Genomic DNA, 14,441 nt, shown 5'->3' on the forward strand with positions numbered 1-14,441 from the left:
ACCTATCAGGTACCACACTCATGGCCTGGGGGATGGGATCATCCATAACCCAAACCTCAGCATCACACAATACACCCATGGAAAAAACTTGCACCTCTACCCCTGAATCTAAAATAAAAGATGAAATTATTTAAAATAAATAAATAAATAAAATGCCATATATGGGAGGGTGTGAATAAGTTATATACAAATACTATGCCACTTTATATCAAGGACTTAAGCATCCTCCAATTTTTTTGTATCCTCAAGAGGTCCTGTAACCAATCCCCCACGAATACCAAGGGACAACTGTTTAATGTAAAAACTTACTTTGAATGAAAACCAACATAAAATAGAAACACTATAAGTTCTCTCCAAAATTGTGAAAAACAATCAACAATTCAAAGTGTTATCCCAAACATCCAACTATTTTCTTAAATACCATTAAAAACAACCACAACTAGATTTAGAATATAAAGAAAGCCTGTATCCGACGTGGATTCCATTTACATTTTTCTTCAGTTAAGAAAATTATATGGAATATGACTAAATGGTTCATTTAAAAAATATAAGAATTCCCTTTCTCAAATATATTCTTTTCTCCTAGATTTAATTTCATAGATCCAATTTCACTGAAGTTCACTTCTGAATACAACTGTGATGTAAGTGAAGGTTTTAATGAACAACAACAAAAATTTCCATAAATACAACTATGAGATTGAGGCAAAGAAACACTGAAAACCAATTTGATATTTTTAATTAGATTTCATTATAAATTTAGTATTCTGCAACAGCCTGTTATCAAAGGCAGCCATGCCCTGACAGCAGTAGAAAACTTTCATTATACACTGGAAAATTTTGCATAAAGAAAAAAAACATTGGCCTGATGCAAATAGCAAGCTTCTCTAGTAAGGTGTAAATGATTCTATTTACAGAAGTTTTCTTCGTTTTTCTTTTTTTAGAGACAGGGTCTTGCTCTGTCACCCAGGCTGGAGTGCAGTGGCTATTTATGCAGTATTTAATTTACATAAAACTTCCTCAGAATGCTTCTGATGCTTCAGGTGAGGTACATGTTTAATGCTGAATGTCACTTACCTTCCGATAAATCATATGGCACATGGCTACTCGTAACCTCATCCCAGCACACTGAACGTGATAAAAATATAAGTGATGCAGTATAGCCAAAATGAGCGTGCAAAAAGTCAGCACCGTGGCATAGGCGTACGCTGTGTTCAAAGCCACAGAATCCATGGGATCATAATTTTCAAAATAATTAATAATTTTTCCCAAAAATATGGGCTGGATTACTTTGGCACTTTCCTAAAAGAAGAAAAAGAAAAGCCTTTAATTAGACATACAGACCACACCATTTTTTCTTTTTACTTTCTCTTTTTTCAGATATTGCTTGCTCTGTCACCCATGCTGGAGTATAGTGGCACAATCCCAGCTCACAGCAGCCTCGAACTCCCTAACTCAAGCAATCCTCACACCTCAGCCTCCCAAGTAGCTGGGACTACAAGTGCACACCATCATGTAGAGCTAAATTTTTTTTTTTTGGTCAAGACAGGGTCTCACTATGTTGCCCAGGCTGGTCCCGAACTCCTAGCCTCAAGTGATCCTCCCACCTCAGCCTCCCAAAGTGCTAGGATTACAGATGTGAGCCACGGCACCTAGGCTCGTTTTTTCTTAACACAAGTTTTATATTTTCAAAGTGCAACATTCATCACTCATCTAAAAGAAAAGCAGAACTGTTTTCTTCTTTAAGACAAGCCGATAGGAGTTTTAACCTGAAATCAAAATTCTAATTTCAAAGTCAATAAAGTTTTAGTACATTGTGCTTGGTACACTGTGGGTGCTCTGTATTACAAACAGGGCTTTAAAGCACACTTGGCAAACTACCAAATTAAGTCTTGGCCTAAGGTGAATAAGGAAAAAAATGGCCCAAGAGGAGTAAGGAATTTGCTTACAAACAGACACCCCAGCTCTCACCCCACTTCCTCTGTACCCTTGACATCCCAGCCCACAGGCTCGTCTATGGGAGGCCAGCACTCTTGCCACCTTCTTCACAGTTAAGAGCCTTTGTGAATGGAGATATTGGCACAAACCCAGATCAGAAAATCAAACTCTCCAATTTTTCCCAATCCAAACTCCAAGAGTCGGTAGATCTAACACCACCAAGTCCAGCTTCAGTTGGAGTGGGGAAAAGAACCAGACTTGGGAGGATTCCAGGCTCTTGGACCCACAGGACATTGCTTCAGTATGTTTCTGCCCCCTACAAGCCCGGATGTGCCCAGAAGAACTGCCACTTTGGCTCAGGTAGTGTGGAGTCAAAAATTAAACACAGCAGAAATTGAGCTCAAAGGGAATGTCATCAGTGGCTCTCTTTATCAGCCATATTTTGAAGGTCCTGGTTTTGAAGCAATATTAATAATCATCTTTTCCCCAAGGCAAAATTAAAATCCCACACCAATGAGCTGGGAAGCATGCGGGCTTACCTTCTGAACAAGATGTAGGGAATGCAATTTTAACCTCCAAGACTAAAGGCAAAGAAACAGCAGAACGCAGCTTGAGCCACGGTTTGAGGTAAGCAAAGGAGCTTTCCTTTACCCTCCCTGCCAAATGAGCACTTCACCCGGCAACCTACTTCCTCCCTCTCGAACCCGTTGTAAGGGACCCTTTTCCCCCAACAAAGAAAACCAAACACTCATTGCAAATCCAGGTCACCAAAAGTAAACATGTAGGCCCTCGACATCATTTCCTCCTGACTTCTCAAAAGACAAAATGCAAAATGTTTGAAAATCTTTCAAGACCTTAACCTTGAAAAACAACTTTTCCTTTTAAGCAATCTCTCCTTCTTAACAAAGACATAATAAACACCTGACAGGTTTGCCATTGATAGCTGTTTTCTGTCCATCTGAAGTGAGAGAAGAACAATCAGTAAAAAACAAAAACAAAATTAACACACACTTTCATCCCAAACAACTAGCACGGGATCAGGATATTTACAGAAGACATTCCCATCCCTCAGATGGGTCATGATATTAAATCCCAACAAGCCTGTCTCGGCATGTGAACGCGCGCGTGCGCGCACACACACACACACACACTCTCTCTCACACACTTCACCAACTGCACTGCCTTCCATGAGGTCATGGAAGTTTTCCCCTATGATACAGAAATCAGAAAATACCATTTAGTTGAAGAATTATGAATAAGATGATCAGATATCAAGAATGCAGAGGCTCACCATTACATTTCCAGCATGGCCAATCATTCAAAAGGCACTAAGAGTTTATGGAAGAGCCCCCAGTACAATGGGTCATAACACGGACTGTTTAGAGTTTACTGAGATGAAAATCTGGACGTTTACATCAAGAAGCAAGACGGCCAAACTGTACACATGGGCAGCCCTGGCTCAGGAGTGCCAAGGGCAACCAGGGCCGCAGCAGACACACCTGGGCTATCAGCCAGACGCTCAGTGCTCTTTGCCTTTCTAAATGTTCCTGAAACTTCTCACAGTCCCTGGGAGTCACTGTTACCTGTTACACGCTTCTCCATTTCAGCCGTAGGTGAGTATGATTCAAACGGCAAGAGGGATGACCCCCAGAGGAAATAACAGATGCAATAAACCCAGCGAAAGAGAATGCAAAAGGCAGGTAGGTCACGACTACCTAATTGTCCAGATTTCCCTGCCGAGAGACAGCATTTAATAATCCAGTCAAGCAAATGGGCTCATTGGTGAGTAATGCTGGTTTTTGGTCCATGCTTTTCCACGGACCTCTCCATCTTAACCTTCAACTAATAAGAAACGAAACAACTGGGAAAATACTCATTATCAAAATTACAACTAACCAAATTTAAACTTTCTAAATATCAGTACCAAGGTCAAAAGTAACTCACATAAATTCTCCACCTTAGAGACCAACCAATCTATGACCTGGTGAAGAGTCTTTCCACAAACAAGCTAAGAATAGTCCTTACTCCTTCACAAGAATTCTCCTCGACTGTGAAACCATGGAGGTTTTTGAGAGTCCAGTAGGATACTTGAATGTTCCATACTTCAGGTTCTACTGGAGTCCCAGAGTACTTGAAGGCAGATACTTCTCAATGGAGTATTTGGTACTCAGCCTCCTGACATTCGAGCCCCATCCCTTGCTTTCTTGGAGTGACACATTACATGTCTAGGCCCAGCGGGCACGCGGCCTCCATGCTCCTGCTCCCCCACGCACTTCAGATATTCCTTGCCCAACTGCACCATACCAGATTGCATGGGAAGGAAAGAAAACACAGGAAATAGAAACAAGCTACCAAAGAAGATGTTTGAGTGAAAAATACAAGCAGAAAAGAGTGAGCTGTGGAAAAATGAGTAAGCAGTTTGTTTTAGAAATGGGGAAATACAGCCAGGCGCGGTGGCTCCCACCTGTAATCCCAGCACTTTGGGAGGCCGAGGTGGGCAGATCACTTGAGGTCAGGAGGTCAAGACCAGCCTGGCCAACATGGTGAAACCCCATCTCTACTAAAAACACAAAAATTAGCTGGGTATGGTGGCTCGCACCTGTAATCCCAGCTACTGGGGAGGCTGAGGCACAAGAATCACTTGAACCCAGGAGGTAAGGCTGCAGTGAGCCAAGATCGCGCCACTGCACTCCAGCCTGGAGAACAGCACAAGACTCCATCTCAGAAAAAAAAAAAAAAAAAAAAAGAAATGGGGGAACAGGGGACAAAACTAGGGTTGAGAAAGATCCAGAGATAAGGAAGAAAAAAGGTGAATCTGGGGAAATAATAACCATTAAGACTCCAGATATACCTGAAGTCCTCTCTGAATCAGTGCAGTCCTGACTGCATGTTAGAATCACCCAGGAGACTTACACGCTCACTGATGCTCAGGACCCATCCCCCACATTTAGGGCCAATTGATCAGGGTAGGGCCTGAGTTCCCCATCCCCGGAAGATTCTGGAGTGTAGAAACCAATGCCTGTACACATCACTATTCTCCTCTCCTGCACTCTCTGTGTCTGAGTCTGGAGGGGCTGGAGACCCGCTGTGAAGAGCTTTTTTGAGATGGAGTTTCACTCTTGTTGCGCAGGCTGGAGTGCAGTGGTGCAATCTCAGCTCACCGCAACCTCCACCTCCCAGATTCAAGCAATTCTCCTGCCTTGGCCTCCTGAGTAGCTGGGACTACAGGCACATGCCACCACGACCAACTAATTTTTGTATTTTTTTAGTAGAGACAGGATTTCACCATATTGTCCAGGCTGGTCTCGAACTCCTGACCTCGTGATCTGCCTGCCTTGGCCTCCCAAAGTGCTGGGATTACAGGCGTGAGCCACTGTGCCTGACCCTGAAGAACTTTTAAGACCACAAAGGGCTTTTAATCAGAACTGCTGCCAAATGTTAGGCTTCCAAGAAAATCCCTTAGGAAAAAAGGATGCTGAGATTTCAGTGATGAAACTAAGATCTTCCATTCTGCACAGCAGGGAAAATTAAATGTTCAGTAAAGACTGTACCTACCAAACAAAAGGATGAATCATAATTTGTTTTTTTAACTTTAAACAAAATAGTTTAACTAGTTTATTTGACTGTAAAAAAAAATAGTTTGAAAAGATAGTCCCTGCACATTATTATCTACCCTAAGGACAATGTAAACTGCAAAAAAAAAAAAAATTTAAATTATTTTTAGAAATCATATTATGGGTAATAGTGTTGATACTGTAAGATAAAATAAATGAATAAGTATGTTGATATCAAGAGCTGGGATTAGGCTAGGGAGAAAAAAGAACAGATGAAGGGAGAAAAGAGATACAGATGTAAGAGTAAAGAGATTAAGTCAAAACACTGGTGTCCTGAATCTGATTTGGAAATACCCACATAAATTCATGATATGTTTATCTTTAAATATAAACATAAAAGGAGTTAAAGCTGCTAGGAAAAATGGTTGATTCCACAGCTGGGGCAAAAACTGTTCAGGGAGCCTAAAACATCTGTCATACCAGAAAATGAGGAAGTTGCAAAGACTAATAGTATACATTCAAAAGACTCAGGGCCCAACTTCGATAGACTCCCACTAGCCAAAGACAGCCAAAGCGTGGCACAGGGATGATAACTGTAATGAACAGCACATCAGAACTGTTTAAATCCATGAGCTCACAATCATACTCATCAAAATATACAGAACAAGCAATAACAAAAAATCCATTAACTCCACAGGAAAATGCTGGAGAATCACTCATTATTTTGAAAATCGGTTTTAAAAAAAAATAACAAAATTAATCATTTCTCCTGCCTTTCCTATAGGTGTACTGTAACTCAGAGTATCAAAGAGTTGATAATGGCAAAGTTTCTCTTTATGCAAATATTTCAGCTAATAAATGAGGAACTGGAATATCACCACTTTGCAAACTCCTAACAAATTAATGCATCTTAAGCAATGATCATGAATGGCTCCAAATACCACACACACATAACCAGACCTAAGCGAGGTATCTCGAAGTGGCAGGTGGTACACACCCTCACCTACAAAGTACTCTTGCCAAAGGGAGGAGGGGGGAAAATAAAACCTGAATCACATCAAGCTTCTAGATCTAACTACTAACTTCTGGTACCAGATGGACATGTTAAATGATACAGCATGCAAGGATGTAGAGGGTCACAAGAGGGGAGGAGGGATATGCAATGAGCCCAATCTAGACCCTGGGAATCCGTGCAGGGCAAACAACACGGTTTCTTCAATTAGAAAGTACACACGCGGCTGGGCGCGATGTAATCTCAGCACTTTGAGAGGCTGAGGCAGGTGGACCACTTGAGGTCAGGAGTTCGAGACCAGCCTGGCCAACATGGTGAAACCCCATCTCTACTAAAAATACAAAATTACCCGGGCATGGTGGCAGATGCCTATAATCCCAGCTACTCAGGAGGCTGAGGCAGGAGAATCACTTGAACCCAGGAGGCAGAGGTTGCAGTGAACCAAGATCATGCCACTGCACTCCAGCCTGGGCAAGAGCAAAACTCCATCTCAAAACACACACACACACACACACACACACACACACACACATCTTCAGAGGGGGCAGTGAGCAGGGCTTCATAAAAATCAAGAGTGGTCATGAGTTGATAGTTACTGAAGCTGGCTTAGGGGTAGAGAGAGGCTTAGTATTCTATTATATTTTATATTTTTGAAATGATCTTTAAAAACCTAAGAAAGATCCCAGCATTTTGGGAGGCCGAGGCAGACGAATCACTTGAGGTCAGGAGTTCGAGACCAGGCTGGCCAACATGGTAAAACCCTGTCTCTACTAAAAATACAAAAATTAGCTACATGTGGTGGTATAAGCTTGCAATCCCAGCTATTCGGGAGGCTGAGGCAGAAGAATGGCTTGAACCAAGGAGACAGAGGTTGCAGTGAGCCAAGATCACACCACTGCACTCTAACCTGGGTGACAGAGTGAGACTCTGGCTCAAAAAACAAAACAACCAAAGAAAGAAAATACCACATGAGGCTTGGCCTTGGCCCTCATGTCAGGCAGCTGAACAAGAAATGTAGAATTGAAGTTATTAAAAACCACCTCATTGGCCAGGCACGATGGCTCATGCCTGTAATCCCAGCACTCTGGGAGGCCAAGGTGGGTGAATCACAAGGTCAAGAGATCGAGACCATCCTGGCCAACATGGTGAAACCCCATCTCTACTAAAAATACAAAAAAATTAGCTGGGTGTGGTGGCGCACACCTGTAGTCCCAGCTACTCAGGAGGCAGAGGCAGCAGAATCACTTGAACCTGGGAGGCAGAGGTTGCAGTGAGCCGAGATCGTGCCACTGCACTCCAGCCTGGTGACAGAATGAGACTCCATCTCAGGAAAAAAAAAAAAATACACATCTCATTTCTCAAAGAAACATTTAGATAATCTTCAACTATCTAAAATACAAAGACCAACAAGCAGCATAGATACAAATGGAGAAGCTGCCTGTGTCCTGGTTTGGCCCACACAGAGGATTCCCAAGCTCCTCCTTCCTCCTGCCCCCCCTGCAGGCTCTAAGTGGGTGGATACTTGCTCAGTCTCCAGTCCCCATCACAGTCTCCATGGAGGTGCACATAGGGGACAGATGTGCTGGAAATTTGCGGGCTGTTCTGTTCTAATTAGCATTTGCCTGGAAGAGCACCATGTTCACCATTAGACTAGTACTTGTTTCTCTGGGCATTATAATCATTCCTCAACTCTGACAATCGTTCCTAATCTCACTTGCATTACTTTGAAATTCCAACCTCAAAGACTCCCCGCAAACTGGTGTCACCATCTCTCTTCCTGCTGGTGCCATCATTAGTACCCAGGGAAGGCCCTGCTTGCCTTCAGCTTAGTTAAGAGTATATGGCTAGGGAGTTATGGATCCACTGCACAGTTGTTCTGTAACCAGAGGAATTAACCCATCTGTGCCTAGCATTCCATTATTGGAACACTAAGCTTGTGGGAGTTTATATTCTACTGTTCAACCTCATCGCCAAGGTCTGATCTTTCACACACAAAAAAAATTGGCAACCTCCGGCATAAGTGGGTTAAAAAAGGCCTGAAAGTCATCACAGAAGCTTTTTACTAAATGCTAGGTTAAGTTTAGAGCTTCCACTATCCAAAATACGAAGATCCACAAGCAGCACAGACACAAGACCAAAAAATGAAAAGCATCTTCATTAAATCAACTGTGAAACTAACATTTGTTCTAACTCCATAATTTTTTTTTTTGAGACAGAGTCTTGCTCTGTCACCCAGGCTGAAGTGCAGTGGCGTGATCTCAGCTCACTGCAACCTCCACCTCCCAGGTTCAAGCAATTCTCCTGCCTCAGCCTCCTGAGTAGCTGGGATTACAGGCGCCCACCACCATGCCCAGCTAATTTTTATATTTTTAATAGAGATGGGGTTTCACCAGGTTGGTCAGGCTGGTCTCGAACTCCTGACCTTGTGATCCGCCCGCCTTGGCCTCCCAAAGTGCTGGGATTACAGGCGTGAGCCACTGCGCCTGGCCTAATTTTCTTTTTTAGAGACAAGGTCTTGCTCTGTCACCCATGCTGGAGTGCAGTGGTGCAATCATAGCTCACTAAAGCTGGGAACTCCTGGGCTCAAATAATCATCCCTTGGCATCCCAAAATGCTGGGATTATAGGCATAAGCCACCATGCCTGGCCAATAAATAGCTTTAATGATTGAAAACCCAAAACAACACCTGAAATGCTTTTGAGATGTTACACTCACTACCTTCATCTTAAGAAATTATTTCTCTCCAACTTCTCCAAAACAGCCAAGTGTCAATAGGCAAGGCTGGGAAAACAATAGTATTTATACTAGAATTCAGGCTGTTTTCACTGCTAGAAGGAAAAGAAAAAAAAAAATCCAAGGATTACTTTGAGTTGAACTGGGAAGAGCTTTAGCTCCCTGAACTTCACTGCATCGGAACTAAAAGTTCTACCAGTTATTATGTTAAAGACACAAGGTTAAAATGAGCATCATCCACTAGTCACCATGATCCTCTAAAGAATAACTGACTACTGTCTAATTTTATACCATAAACCACCAAGATATTGGTGTAAACACAGGACCAACAAGTGCTCTCTTGTGAAAAGCCCAGGCTCCACTTTATATGAGAGGTGCCTGCCGCCAGCACTGTGTGGGTCCATCTTAACACCTTAGCCTGCCGCCCTAATACCTGGGGCCCACCTTGCTAGTGGGAGGGTTCAGATACCAGGACAGAAGAGCTGTCCCCATACTAGTGACTCATCTGGGGTCTTCATCCTTGCCAAGCAAACTGCACACCCACTTCACGATTCAGGCCAAAGGCTTCTGAAACTGCAGAGATATCATTGCTATGCAAGAAACCCAGAGCCTTTGATAAGTAAAAACAGGGAACTTGACATCCGCCCAGACCATCAGTCAATGTCGTGACCATGCAAGACCACAAGCTTCCCCCTCGTCCATCCGAGGAGGAGACAACTGGGAATGGTGTCTTAACAGCGTGGATGTTGATGAACTTGGGTCAGCAGGGCTGCACGCCTCACACATGTGGAGGATGGTACTCAGTGGGAGACAGGTTTCTAAAGGGTTCTTGGTCAGCCAGGCACAGTGGCTCACACCTGTAATCCCATTAATTTGGGAGGGCGAGGTGGGCCGATGGCTTGAGCTCAGGAGTTCTAGACCGGCCCGGACAACATGGTAAAACCTCATCTCTACTAAAAATACAAAAAATAAGCCAGGCATGGTGCATGCCTATAGTCACAGCTACTCAGGAGGCTGAGGTGGGAGGATTGCTTGAGCCCAGGGAGATGGAGGTTGCAGTGAGCTGAGATCACACCACTGCACTCCAGCCTGAGTGACAGAGTGAGACCCCACCTCAGACGAAAACATAAAAAAAAAAAAAGAGTTCGTGGTCAACCTGAATGTACCTTGGTGCTCTGACCTGCCCAGCACCCCAGCCACTCTCTAGCATGTCACCTGACTTTCCGGCACCAGGACACCTAGGAACCTAGGGTAATTTATAATCCCCAATCTGATTTCCCACAGCCATGCCCCACTGTTCCAGGGAGCTCTTAGCATCTGACTTATCCCTAGGCCAAGTTCAAGAAGCATGTGCTGGATACTCTGAAGACAGAGTTCTCAAGACACCTTTACGACAGTCTGGAGATGGTTAGGTCCCTAAGTCAGCGCTCCTGAGACTGAATCTGGGCTCTGTCATTTACACTTTGTGTGGCCCTAGGCACATTATATAACTACATGGCACCCAGTGTCCTCTTCCCAAAAGTAGGGTTAAAAGAATGCCTTCTGACTGAGCATGGTGATTCCTGCCTATAATCCCAGCACTTTGAGAGGCCAAGGTGGGAGGATCATTTGAGCCCAGGAGTTCAAGACCAACCTGGGCAACATAGTGAAACAAAAATACAAAAATTAACCAGGCATGGTGGCGTGCACCTGTGGTCCTAGCTACTTGGGAGGACTGCTTGAGCCCAGTAGGCCAAAGCTGCAGTGAGCCAAGATAGCACCACTGCACTCCAGCCTGGCAACAGAGTGAGACCCTATCTCAAAAAACAAAATAAAATAAAATAACATGAAAGAAAGAAAGAAAGAAAGAAAGAAAGAAAGAAAGAAAGAAAGAAAGAAAGAAAGAAAGAAAGAAAGAAAGAAATCATAGCAGTTCCTGGTACATAGTATTTTTCAAGTACTCACTGTCAGTATTATTACAACTATTGCTACTATCACTGCTGCTGCTACTACTACTACTGAGTACCAACCACTACTAATCCTGCTGCTGCTTCTACTAGCACTGCTGCTGCTAAGCAGTACTGAGCATGAGCCCCCATATTTGCCAGGTCCTCCACTCCCTACTTTTCTGCCATGACTGCCCAATAACCACCCCGCTAAAAGACCAGCTCTCCACCAACTGTACCCATATTAAAGCTCCCCTCGATCCGGGCCCCTTCCCACATGCCCACCAGCAGTAAAGATTACCATGCTCCTTGCACCAGAGTGGGGCCTGTCCTCAAGTCTCAGGAGAAATTCACGCTTCTACAGCCTCTACTTCTGTGCCTGCTTCTCCCAAAAGCTTACCCAAATCTCACTGTAGTCCAGTCACCATCTGTGGGTTAGAGACCCCACCCCAAGTGGCTGGCAGCCCATGACAGCATGGACAGCCCTGAGCATGACAAGCTCAGTTCCTTCTAAATCATCCTGTTTTCAATTTCATAAGCAGCTGGTGACAAAGGGAAACTAGAGAAATGGAAGTAGCTGAGGGAGGCATGCCTCGAAACCTATGTGAGGCCATTGATTCCCACTACACCTAACCAGACACCTGGCATGAGCCTTAGACACTTACAGAGGCTCCATGGCTACCAGACAACTTCTCTGAGGTTGCACAGCCAAACTGGGCCAGGAAATCCTGCACACACTGGCCACATTGACACCGACTTGTCATTCTATTTCTTTCCAACTGAAACTGATCGGGGCCATGTGGAAACACTATCGCTGGGACACCCCAGCACAGGTTGAAGAGGGGCTGGGAGAACCTGAGGGGCTCCTAGCCCTCTTCCACCCTCAAGTCAGTTCCACCGGTTATTCTGCATGTCCACCCCATCTGCCACAAAGCCACAGTAGCATGCAGGCAGGGCGGGTACCCTCTCAAAGGTGGCATTCACCATCTGGCACCCTGGCCAAAACACCTTTGTCACCAATGAGACCATTCATCTCCCAGGACCGTCCAGTCCCCTGTTGTCTGACAGATTCCTCTGGTGTAGGGCAGAGCTCACCTACCTGCCTCCCACTGCCCACCGTGCCCTCCACAACAAAAAGCATGTTCAACAGGAGCAAACCCCCCCACATACAAACCAACCCCCTCCCCCCACCCACCTCATTCCCAACAAAATGCACCGTGACAACTCCCCATCCTGCATTTAAAGCCACCCTTTTGTAACAACAGCAACATCCACCCCTCTAACTTTAATGGACCACTGACATCCCTAAGGTAGCACAGAGGACACAAGTCACCCAGCAGGACCCTCTGCATCTCCTCTAGCAGGCCAAAGACCAGAACGGACAAGCTACCTGGCAGTGTGCCTAGGCAGAACACTGTCTTTCTGCAGATCTCAAGAGAGGCCCTTCGGGGTAACAGAGGTTATTGCCCTTCTGGCTGTCTTTGATTTTTCATGGAATGTCCATTTATACATTCTCTGCAGGGCCAGGCACCAAGACTCTACCTTCCAACCAGCAATCCACTCCGACAACAAGGAAGACACACCGGATGGGTGTGATGAATCCCCTTGGGTGCACAGTCCTCGGACCTTCTTCCCAGAGGGGATTTTGGCTCCCAGCACCTGGGCCCACTGGGAGGGGGTAGCTCTTGGGTGCTTCAGCCAGCTCCAGCCTCTGGGGCACCACCGCCAGCCCAGGTGCAAGGCCCTCAGCTCTGTTTCCCCGAGAGGGGAGAGGTGACAATACCTCTCCAGAAGAGCAATTATCAGATTTGGCTTGGTGAACAATTATTTGTTGAGCACCTGTAAAATGTCTTACATTATTCTGGGCTCCGATCCAAAATCACTTCCTCTAAACCACAGGGCACGCACTCCTCAAGGCTGTAGGATCCTCTTTTGACCAGGAGTGACTCTTAGCATTTAAAACATTTACCGAGCACCAACATTGTCCTACCATAGAATAAAATACTCTTCTTCCATGACACTGCATTTTAATTGGTTACAAGAAAAACAATAATGACCTTGAACTTCAGTCACTTAAGTATTCACCTGGATAAATACGCTCACTGAACTAACTACCTAATACTTCCTAGACATGTTTAATCCTTAGACCTTAAAATACCTTCAAACCCCATCTGGCCACTTCTCCCTTCTGTTCCCCCATCCATTACAGCACCAGTCAATGGCGAGCACATTTACTCTATGTGTCCTGAAAAACAATTCATGGTATGTAAAAGCTTTTACCTCAATTAACGTAAAAATTCCCAAAACTAAATAAGATTTCCAGTAACACTTTATGATTGCTCTTGTTAAAGAAGGCTTCTGTGCGTCATTCTCAGCTCTTAAAACTTCTTTATCCCAGAACCTACAATGAGGAAAAAGCTTCGTAAATAAGAGTGAACCCTGCCACAATATAAAACAGGGGAGATGGCAGAGTGACAGGTATGCATTTAAGACAGGGCATTTTGTGACGATTTCATAAATGCTACTAATTGCTCCCAGGGCTCCTGAAGGTTATGTGTGGTACAGAATCTGGAGCATCAGAAAAACAGGCCTTGAGGGGAAGTCTGGGGAAACAAGTTACTGCCAAGCTTTACTGGATTGAAGCCCCATCAGTAGCACAGATAAGCCAGACAACCTCCTCCAACCACAACACTTCCACCTAGAGGGACAGACCTCAGGCATCTCGGGCCTTTGGTGCTGGCTCCCCTGACCTCTACGGAGGCACAGGCAACAGGAGTTTCCCCCAGGCCACCATGGTAGGCTGAGCCTAGGGGCAGCCTGAGGAAGGTGACACATATTCACCTTAAGGGTAAACGGAGGCTCCAGACAGGACCCAGGAAGGCAAAACCCACTCCCCACACACAGACACCCACGCTTCCTTAATGCCCACTTTACTGCCTCCGACTTACCCTTGCAACTCCTCTCCAAGGTGCTGTGAGCGGTCTTCTGGCAGCACTGAATACATATCATCTTCCTCTAATCTCCGTTTATGGCCAATTTTAAACAAGGGATTGAGCCACCTGTTAACAAGAGAAAAGAGACATATATCCAGAATTACACATCCGTGTTTAAGTAGACTCCTACCTCCATGGGTTTTGCTTAAACTTACCTTTAAAATACATACAGCTATATATAGACAGACAGATATGAATATATAGAGCTAGAGAGAGAAAAGTTAACATGTGCACACACACACACACACACACAGTCCCTAGCTCTATCCACAGACAGGCCCCAGAAGCA

At 44.7% G+C, this 14,441-nt stretch overlaps 1 protein-coding gene across 6 annotated transcripts in view, besides 1 other annotated feature; it reads right to left on the minus strand.

Moving 5' to 3' along the window:
• ABCC4 (ATP binding cassette subfamily C member 4 (PEL blood group)) overlaps positions 1-14,441 on the minus strand; it is a 281,617-nt gene that overhangs the window by 213,701 nt on the left and 53,475 nt on the right. For 5 of the 6 annotated variants that reach the window (NM_001301829.2, NM_005845.5, XM_047430034.1 and 2 more), the window contains exons 2-4: positions 14,108-14,218; positions 13,440-13,560; positions 1,075-1,299 (exon numbers count right to left, since the gene is read on the minus strand). In NM_001301829.2, coding sequence (NP_001288758.1) covers positions 1,075-1,299; positions 13,440-13,560; positions 14,108-14,218 — 457 coding nt within the window. The remainder of the gene's footprint in view (positions 1-1,074; positions 1,300-13,439; positions 13,561-14,107; positions 14,219-14,441) is intronic. The other variant, NM_001301830.2, reaches the window with a different exon arrangement.
• Positions 11,438-11,517: an enhancer, noted in NCBI's record as "active region_7869". NCBI's record gives its function as "activates an Ori minimal core promoter by ATAC-STARR-seq in GM12878 lymphoblastoid cells {active_cell/tissue: GM12878}" and the evidence as "EXISTENCE:reporter gene assay evidence [ECO:0000049][PMID:35858748]".

The sequence above is a fragment of the Homo sapiens genome, chromosome 13 (assembly GCF_000001405.40).
Source record: "Homo sapiens chromosome 13, GRCh38.p14 Primary Assembly".
Classification (NCBI taxonomy): Eukaryota; Metazoa; Chordata; class Mammalia; order Primates; family Hominidae; genus Homo; species Homo sapiens.